Source organism: Homo sapiens, chromosome 12 (assembly GCF_000001405.40).
Source record: "Homo sapiens chromosome 12, GRCh38.p14 Primary Assembly".
Lineage (NCBI taxonomy): Eukaryota > Metazoa > Chordata > Mammalia > Primates > Hominidae > Homo > Homo sapiens.
This window is the reverse complement of record NC_000012.12, coordinates 85,705,650-85,716,358: the sequence shown is the minus strand read 5'-3', so window position 1 is coordinate 85,716,358 and position 10,709 is coordinate 85,705,650. Positions and strand designations below refer to the sequence as shown.

Here is a 10,709-nt window from a genome sequence, read left to right as displayed (position 1 = left end):
AATTTATGACATGTAAAGGATCATGAAAGTTAGATACATATACAGGAATAACAAAGAAATAGACAGAAATTGCCCATGAAAAAGCACATCTGTAGGACTTACTAGACAAAGATGTAATCAGTTATTTTAAATATGCTCAAAGAACTAAAGAAAACATTGTATAAAGAACTACAGTATGAGAATACTATTTCAGGAAATAGAGAGTATCAACAATGAGATAAGAATATTTTTTAAAAAGATATCCAGTAGTTGAAGAGCATTTTAAGTAAATGAAAATGCACTAGAAAAACTCAACAGCAGATTTGAACTGGTAGAAGGAAGTATCCGTGAATTTGAAAAATAAGTCAATTATACTTATTTAGCCTGAGGACACAAATTTAAAAGTAATAAATAAATATAAATAAGCAAAAGCTCAGAGACTTGTGGATACCAACACATTCATAATGAGAATCCCAGAAGGAATGGCTATTATTTAAAATTTTATAGCCAAAACTTCTCACATTTGATGAAAAACGTTAATCTACACATTCAAGAAGCTCAATGAACACCCAATAGAATAAACTGATAAAGATCAACACAGACATATACAAATCCAACCATAAAGAGCTAAAAAAGAAGAGAGGATCTTGAAAAGTGCAAGGAAAAAGTGCCTCAACACAAAAAAAGAGATGTACAATAAGATTGGTGTATGGTTTCTCATTAGAAACCTGGAATTCAAAAGGCACTAAGATAACATCATCAAAAGGTTGAAGCAAAAGACTGACAACCAAAAATTCTATATTAGCTAAATTATCCTTCAAAAAATGAAGAAGACCTTAAGACATTCCCAGATTGAAAACAAAACAAAACAAACAACCAAACAAAAACAGGTAATTTTTCACTAGTTGTCTTGCCCACATGAAACTCTCAAGGGAGTCCTTCAGGCTGAAGTGAAAGGAAACAATACAGTATCGCCAAACAAAATAAATAATGAGCACTGCAAAGAGCACTGCATAGGAAAGCAATATTTTTAAAGCATAAATATATTTTGTTTGTAACTCTTTTTTCTTCTAAGTTGTAAAATAACTGCATAAGCTAATGCTTATGTTATGGTCTGAATGTTTGTGTGCCCTGAAATTCATGTGTGAAAATTTAATTACTAATGTGATGGTTTTAGAAAGTGGGGTATTTGGAGGTAATTAAGTTTTGAGGGTCAGCCCTCCCAAATGGGATTAGTGTTCTTATAAAAGAGGCCCCAGAAAGCTGTCTTGCCCATTCTACCAGGTGAAGACACAGCTAGAAGGCACCATCTAGGAACCGAAAAAGAGGCCCTCGCCAGCCATCAAATCTAACAGAACTTTGGTCTTGGTCTTTCCAAAACTATACGAGATAAATTTCTATTGTTTTTGAACTACCAGGTCTGTAGTATTTTTTAATAGCCACCCAAGTGAACTAAAAGAGTATACATGAAAATATAATGTATAAGGATGTAATTTTTATGGCAATAAAAACAGAAATATAAGGAGACGATGGAACTATATAGGAGCAAAGTTTTTGTATATGATTTAAAGTAGTTGGTATTAGTCCAAACTAAATTGTTATCAGTTTTAGTTATAGTTCTTTGGGAAATCACTAAGAAAACAATGCAAAAATGTGGTAAAAGAAATATCGGCAGAATTAAATTTGTATACTTAAAAATACTTATTTCACCAAAAAGTAGGCAATAAAAAATAGAGAAACAATGACATCATAAAGTAATAAGACAGAGAGAAAATAAGTAACACAATAGCAGATACAAATCCTTCATTATCAATAGTAACATTAAAGGAAAATGGATTAAACATTCCAATCAAAAGGCAGAAATTGGACAGAATAGATTAAACAACAATAACAAGATCCCACTTCAAAGGTATATGTATATTTAAAAGGATGGAAAAAGATACACCTTTCAAGCAGTAACTAAAAGAAAGCTGGAGTGGCTATACTAGTATTAGACAAAGTAGACTTTAAGATAAAAATGGTTACTAACAATAATGAAAAAATTCCAAAATATATGAAACAGAAACTAACAGATTTTAAGAGAAAAATTTAAAAAAATAAGAATAATAGCTTGAGGCTTCAATACTCCACTTTTAATAGTGGATAGAACAACTAGACAAAAGAGCCACAAGGAAACAGAAGACTTGACAACTGTAAACTACTAGAACTAATAGACATCTATAGAACATTCTATCTAACAATAGTAGAGTACACATTCTTCAAAAATGCACATGGAACATTCTTCAGTACAGAAAATTCCCAGGATTCAATTGTTGGGAGCTATAGAAATAACAGTAAGGTAGGGTTTTTTGCTGTAATGACCATGTTATTAAAGTCTAATAGTGAAAAGAATGTGAAAGTATATAAAGACCAATCTACTTTGAAGAAAGAAAATTTTAAAAATAAATTAGAATATGTATTAAGAACAAGGAAGTTCATTTGAGGTTGTAACTTCTGTTGGCAACATAACAATGTTGTGTGCTTGAAATTTTTTTTAAGTTAGTATTAAGTTCATTGTTTTAATCTATAAATAAAACTGAGAAGGAAGGCTTAAGTCTGATTTACCAAAATAATCAGATACTATTCATTGTCTGATAAATAATACCCATGTAAAGCACTCACAAATCTGAAACTGAAGTTACTTTTATTTTTGTTACCCTTTTAAGTGCATGCCTAGACAAATGTAGTAAGTTATCAAAAATAGCACGTGTAAGTCCATGAGAACCCCTGGGAAAGGAAAAACTTGGAACACATAGGTGTTTCTTATTCCAAGATCTCTGTAATAGAGATGAACATTCCATTTTTTTTTTTAAGTTACACAATACCAAGCTGAATATCGCTGCTCTAAACTCATGCAATCAAATTTCAGCTGGATTCTTTTCTCTCTCAGTTGGAGTAACGGCTTAAATTTATTAATTATTTACCATGTGCTAGGCTCCTACATGCTGCTGCATTTAATCCATCGATCCTTGATTGCTGAACCTTATTATCATTTCACAGATGTAGAAAATGAGGCCAGAGATGTTAAATATCTTGCACATGTTCACACAGTGAGGTAAGGCCAGAATTCTTATGCAGGTCTGCTTGATTGAAGAAAAATATGCTTTTCATTATTTGACACTATCATAAAATATTTTTAACCCTGATTGACAGCTTACTATGTTATACACCACAGCTGTTCCAAACTTCATCTACTCTTTTCCAGATTCTTAACATCCCCCTTCACATTACTCAAGGCAGATAATTTTTTACTCAGACCAAGTTCAAATGCTTCTCTCAGCTTCCCTCAACATAACCTCAAATTGCCTGGCATTTCCAAACACTCTCTTATTCTTGGTTTTCTTACACTCAATTTATCTGTTCTTCATCTGTCTTTAAGATCAGCAGTTACTTTTCTGTTTCTAATAACCTTTATCATCCTTCATGTTCTGTTTTCATTTGGGTTCTCCCAGAAGCAGACCATGAGGCAGTGTTGAGTTTAAGAGCACAAGAAGTTTATTTTGTAAGTGATATCAAGAAACATTACTAGGGCAATGATAAAAGAAAAGACAGTAAAGCTTTTGTTATTAGGCAAGTTCTTTCTGATAGTAACTTAAAGTTAAACATGTCAGGGTACTGGCATAGCCAACGTAGACAATGTGCTTCAAAGTTATCCTATCCAAGGTGCAAAGGAGCTGGAGTATTTATGTACTAAGTTCCATCAAATAGTGGCTGAGGGCTGGGGGTTGGAGGGAAACTCTCTGACACTACTAACCTATAGGGTGAGCAAGCATAGCAGATTCTGGAGACAAGAGAAAACTCTCAAGCAAAGTAATGCAGGGGCTAGATGTTGGAATTTAGTCAGCTATATATCCATCTGATTAGTGGGAGGGGATATAGGTATGGTACTGACAGTATATTTCTATGCTGTTTAAAAATATTTACTGTTTGCAACTAATGATAAGTTTAAATAATCATCATAGTTTTCTATCAAAAACTCACATTGATTTATGAGGATATGAAAAAGATTCAGTTTCTTCTGTACAGGCTCCAGAGTGGCAGCAGCTGCGGTGGCTTGGTACATGGTTGTTGACGTCACCCTTGCATGATGACTCCTGCCCAAACAGCACTTACATGGAGAGGAGGATGGACATATGGGTGGAGGACACATGGCCCAATCCCCTGGAAAGAAGGACTCTGACTATTGTGTAATCTCGGGGAAGGGAGTGTGCCAGGAACAGGGAGAAGGAGTGTGTGTGAGCAAAGGCCTCTGGAGGCCCAGGATTCTGCCCAACTCAACAGCCCCAGAGGGCAGTAGATCCTCAGGGGAGGGCTCTCTCCCTGCCCCCACAATGGGCTCCACAGCAGGTGGGGTGTGGTACACAGGAGGGAGAGGTTCCAGAGGCCAAACCTAGGGTGAGGGAAATAATAAGAGGCCAGCAGGACTGAAGGTCAGGCCCAAGAGCTAGGCAGGTGCCAAGAGGCCAGCATCTGTGAGGTTGGAGAGACTCTTGATCAGGGGTGGGAGTCATTTCTGATGTCAGAGCCTTCGGGTGACAGTTAAGAGCCAAAGAAAGATAAAATAAAATACTAATCAGTTGCAAACATCAAATATTTTTCTTTGTGTCCCTTTCTACTTTTTGCTCACTCCTTTTATTTTTGTATCTAGATTCTTTTCCTGTTCTCACCACTTAAATATAAATATTTTTCATGAATCTGCCCATGATGATTCTCATTTCAACTCTTACCCTTGGCAATCTCGTGGTTTCTATTAAATCAGTGCAGATGACTCCCACATCTAGCAATAAATTTTAACCCCATTTTTCATGTCCCAGGATGCAATTTTAAGTTTTAAACTTCCACCAAAGGCTCTTCCTCTGCATTTAGTGCCTCAGGATGTCCAAACTTGAGGTCCCAATCTTCCTTAGAAAAACTTCATATTAAAAAAAAAACTGCTTACATGTTCTTTCTATTTGAATTAACAGGAAATTCCTAATAATCTTTAACACCTCTGCTTACTGACACCAACATTGAATCAGTTACCCTTTTCTGTAAATTATCTTCCCATAATACCTCTTTTTCTATTTCTTCCTCTTCAGTTTCCAGTTACTATACTCATTCAGACCCAGGGATTTCATTATCCTTGACTTGGCTATTTGGCTATTTCAATAGCATTCAGACTCCCCTTTTTAAAAATGTTCCATGTCCGCTTCTGCTAAATAGATTTTCTTAAAGCACAGCTTTGATCATGTCATTTTTCCCACTTAAAAGTCTAAGATGCTCCCTATTGCTTGTAGAGTATTGCTGTAATTGAAAGAACATGAGCTTTAGGTCAAGCAGAACTGGTCTAAATGTCTGCTCCACTGCATATAACTGTGTGGAATTGATAGAACTATTACATTTTGTGGGTTTCAATATCCTCATCTGTAAACTAAGAATAATTATACCTTGTTAATAGTGATGACATGTTAAATAAGGTTATATAGGACGCAACTTTTAAACCACCCAGGCATGCTGTAGGCATTCAGTAAATAAATTATTTTCCCAGTTTTTGAAGATTCAGTAGCCTGGAATTAGAAGTACTTTAATAATGACAGAATATAAAAGTTACTAAACAAATTAAAAACAGAGTCAATAAATATTCAGGTGTTTGTTTTTCTAATTATGGGAAAGAGCTTACTAGACATAAAAGCAATGGATAAATAATAGCAACATATTAATGGCTTGGAGTAAAAAAAATTAACAAGAGCTCTATATTGAAAATAATCAAAAAGTGAAAAAATTAAATATAGTAGTGACATATGTATTACATATAGCAAGCAAAAGTTAATGGCTTTTCTTTAAAAAAGACTCTTACAAATTATCAAAATATAAATACCACAATAGTTGAAATGTATGGATAACCTGAGCTGGTAATTCAAGATGGTATATTATCAATAGTTAATACGCAGTAGTAATTTAAGTGTGTTGTCCAAAATAGCAATAGTGCTACATTTGAGAAATCCTGATTTAGATGATGACTTAAGTAATATTATGTCCCCCAACAAAAAAAAATCATTTTTAGTTTTTAAATCCTTGGTAATCCTAAGTAATTTTTAATAAACATTTAAACATCATTTTAGCAAAGTTCTAATTATTTAAATTCTTCTATTCCGTTTTAGTATTTTTCACTGTAACATCCAGTCATGGGTCCTAACACAGCTTCTGAGTCAGCATAGAGAAGACAAATCTTTAACTCAAGTATCTTCTTTCTACCAATTAAAGAAATATATTATTTTTCTCCCTGTAAACTCTAACAAAGGCCCCTTTTCTTCAATGACTACATGTATTAATTCATTTAAAGTCCATTTTTATCATCGCAGCATCCAGAAATACCATAGACTTCCAGAAAATGTTTGACTGTCATATCTGTGGTTGAAAATAAGTACCTTTAGTACAATGTGAGCAGAAGAGGGTAGACATATATTTAGGTTAGTATTTTTTAATTAGAAGCAATTTTGTCTCCCAAGAAACATTTGGCAATTTCAAGAGATATTTTAGATTGTCATGACTGAGTAATTGCTATTAGAACCTAGCAGAGACCAAAGATGCTGGAAAACATCTTGAAATGCACCTTATACCTTCAACAATCAGAATTATCTGGTCCAAAACAGTGATATGCTGCAGTGGAGAAATCCTAATTTAGATGATGGTTTAAGTAATATTATGTTCATAAAAATAGAAAAAAAACCCTTTTTTTATTTTTTAAAAACCTTAGTAAATTTTGTCTTAGGGAGAGGGTTATAGATGTTATCAAGCTTTGAAAAAGATTATTCTCTGAATAGCTAAAGGTTCATTAACAAATTTCCCTCTGGAAAATTGCTGGCTTCAGCTATGATTTTCTGGTGCAAATGTTACTTTACTCTCTTCATGAATAAATTTGCATTCAGTTAGAGAAATAATTCATTTGCTTTGTAATCTTGTCTATGGTATAATTATTCTACTAGGTTGATGCAAACGTAATTGCAGCTTTGGACGGTGACTTTTAAGTCATTGTAACTAGACTGAAACACATCTTTATTAATCAAAATGGGAACAATTACAATCAACACATTTTTGCCAATGAGAAATAAGTTTGTTTATTCTTGTAGTAAAAATCTGTGCTTCAGGATTTGACAAACTTTTGGAAAGCATTTTCTGCATCTTGCTGGTTGTGGAAACATTTTCCCTCCAAAAAAGTTGTCAAGATACTTTAAGAAGTGGTAGTCAGCAGGAGGCTGAGGCAGGAGTATCACTTGAACCCCAGGAGGCAGAGGTTGCAGTGAGCCGAGATTGCGCCACTGTACTCCAGCCTCGGTGACAGAGCGAGACTGTCTCAAAATAAATAAATAAATAAATAAATAAATAAATAAATAAATAAATAAATAAAAATAAAAAAGTGGTAGTTGGTTGGCAAGATGTTGGGTGAATACGGCGGATAAGGCAAAACTTCGTAGCCCAATTCATTCAACTTATGAAGTGTTGGTTGTGCCACGTGCAGTCAGGCGTTATCGCATAGAAGAATTGGGTCCTTTTTGTTGACCAATGACACGGCAGATGTTGCAGTTTTCAATGCATCTCATCAATTTGCTGAGCATAATTCTCAGATGTAATGGTTTTGCCAGACATGATTCAGAAAGCAGTAGTGGATCAGACTGGCAGCAGACCACCAACAGTAACCATGACCTTTTTCTGTGCAAATTTGGCTTTGGGAAGTGCTTTGGAGCTTCTTCTCAGCCCAACTGCTGAGCTGGTCATCGGCAGTTGTCATATAAAATCCACCTGTTGTCATACATCACAATCCAATTGAGAAACTGTTTGTTGTTGTGTAGAATAAGAGAAGGCAGCACTTCGAAAGGTTGATTTTTTTTATTTTGGCTCAGATCATGAGGCACCCACTTATCAAGCTTTCTCATCTTTCCAATTTGTTTCAAATGCCAAATAACCATGGTCGACATTGAGTTCCTTGGCGACTTCTCGTGTAGTTGTAAGAGATCGCTTCAATGATTGCTTTCAGCTGGTCATTCATTGTTAGCTTCTGATGGCTGGCCGTGATGCTCCTCATCTTCAAGGTTCTCGTCTCCTTTGCAAAACTTCTTGAACCACCACTGCACCTGTATATTCATTAGCAGTTCCTGGGCCAAATGCGTTGTTGATGTTGCAAGTTGTCTCCACTACATTATGACCCATTTTGGACTCGAATAAGAAAATTGCTCAAATTTGCTTTTTGTCTAACATCATTTCCATAGTCTAAAATAAACATAAAACAAACAGCAAGTAAAAAGTCATTAGCAGAAAAACATAAAGGAAGAAATGCTCATTAAAATGATGTATAACATAACGACATTTATTTAAGAAAGTATTCCATTTTCAAATGGCAAATTCCAACAATGCAAGAACCACAATCACTTTTGCACTCACCTAAATGCAAAAGTTCCTAGATTGGTGGGCTTCAAAAGGAAATTGGTTTTACATCAAGGGATAAGCAAAGCAACAATTTGTAGTTAAATAGACTTGTTTGGCAGAGTTCTTGCCAAACATTCTTAGAAAAATTATTGTATCTGAAAATTACTTTAATTATTTGACTATGAGGAAAAGATATGTAAGATGAATGAAAATACAAATATACACCTTTGTGTGCAATCTGCATAAAGAATCAGAGTCGCAATGTTAACTTAATATGTCCTGGGTTTTATTTCCTTGGTCTGAGCAACAGTTCCTAAAAACAATGAGAAATATATGTCCCTATTCTTATAAAACAACCTGAGACCAAAACAAAAGTTACTTTAAACCAATGATCCTCAAAGATTTTCTGATTGGCAATTGGCTGAGTTATTATTTGAAGACCTGGAATCATTAGAATGTCTGGGTTGTGATAAGGGGTTGTGGAGACCAAGGTTTTATCATACAGTTGAAGCCTCCAGGTAACAGGCTCTAAAGAGAACAGATTGTAAGTATCTCTTACCCGACTCAAAGAATCTGTTCTATCAGTCCTAAGGTCTGTGTTGGTGTTAATGGTAATGAGGCATGTTGGACTTCTCCTTCTCATGATAGCCTGAACTAGTTTTACAGGTTAACTTCTGAATGCCCTTAGCTGAGAGGAGGGTTTCATTTATATCATCGGGGCTTAGAATTTTATTTTTGGTTTACAGGGTCTTAAAATAAGTAATTAAATTAAAATGAGATTTTAGTGCAGACCCGAATCCAATATGACCACTGTCCTTATAAGGAGAGAAAATCTCTGTACAGAGAAGTACAGAGAGAAGATGATGTGTAGATAGAAGTAGAAGACAGTTATGTACAGCCAAAGAGGGAGGACTCAAAAGAAAACTGCCAATCTTTTGATCTCGGACTTCTAAGCTTCAGAATTCAGGATAATAAGTTTCTACTGTTTAAACCACTCATTCTGGGTGCTTCGTATTGCTTCCCTAGCAAACTAATACAATGTTCAAACGATACTAATCTTCCAAATGGGCTATTCTTGAATGAGTGTCATAATTTTTCAGTCTACGTAACACAGTAACTTTGAATACTTTTAAAACATTTCAATAAATTGTTGCTTCATGTTTCAGAGGCCCAATTTAGATTTTTAAATCAAGGAACACATTTTTTTTTTCAGTTCTGCAAGTTGTAACAGATACGTAGAGTTATGATACCTCTGCCATAATAAAGTTAAAGAACAGTTCCATCACTCCCCAAAATTCACCTATGACTCTTGGTAGCTGTTATGTCTTGGATGTTTATCCCCTCCAAATCTCATGTTACAATGTGATCCTCTCTGTTGGAAATGGGTCCTGGTGGGAGGCGTTTGTGTCATGGGAGCAAATCCCTCACGAACAGTTTGGTACCATCCTTACAGTAATGAGGGAGTTCTTGTTCTGTATTTTTGTGCACAAGGGCAAGTTGTTTAAAGGAGACTGGCACCTCCTCCTTCCTCTCTCTTGCTTCCTGTCTTGCCATATAACATGTTGGCTCTCCTTTGCCTTCTCCCATGATTAGAAGTTTCCTTAAGCCCTCACCAGGAGCAGGTTCCAGCACAATGCTTCCTGTGAAGCCTTTAGAACTAAAAGCCAATTAATCATTTTTATGAATTACCCAACCCCACCCAGGTATGGGTAATTTATAGGAACAAACCTCAGGTATGGGTAATTTATAGCAATTTTATAGCAACAAAAACAGACTAACCCTGTAGTCAACCACATCCCTATCCTTCTCTGTTTCTACCACTCTACTGTTCTTTCCTTATACTTTTGTTTTTCTAGGATGTCATATGAGAAACCATTCTTTGCCCATTATTTAACTCTTCCACTAAAACCAAAACCAAAACCAAACCAAACAAAAACAAAAAGATTGTATAAACTAAAGTATTTGTATTAGTCCATTTTCATACTGCTATGAAGAAATACCCAAGACTGGGTAATTTATAAAGAAAAAGAGATTTAATGGACTCACAGTTCCACGTGGCTGGGGAGGCCTCACAATCATGGTGGAAGATGAATGACAAGCAAAGGCACATCTTACATAGCTGCAGACAAGACAGTGAGTGCGGGGAACTACCCTTTATAAAAACATCAGATCTCATAAGACTTATTAACTATCACAAGAACAGCATGGAGGTAACTGCCCCCATGATTCAGTTACCTCCCACTGGGTCCCCCATGACATGTGGGGATTATGGGAACTACAATTCAAGA

At 35.3% G+C, this 10,709-nt stretch overlaps 1 long non-coding RNA gene across 1 annotated transcript; it reads right to left on the bottom strand.

The window, feature by feature from the left end:
• Positions 1-3,490: 3,490 nt before the first annotated feature.
• On the bottom strand, positions 3,491-10,394 carry LOC124903073 (uncharacterized). Its single transcript, XR_007063576.1, has 2 exons — positions 9,722-10,394; positions 3,491-8,265 (listed from the first exon to the last, which is right to left on the bottom strand). It is a non-coding gene; the product is annotated as an uncharacterized LOC124903073 (long non-coding RNA).
• Positions 10,395-10,709: the final 315 nt, after the last annotated feature.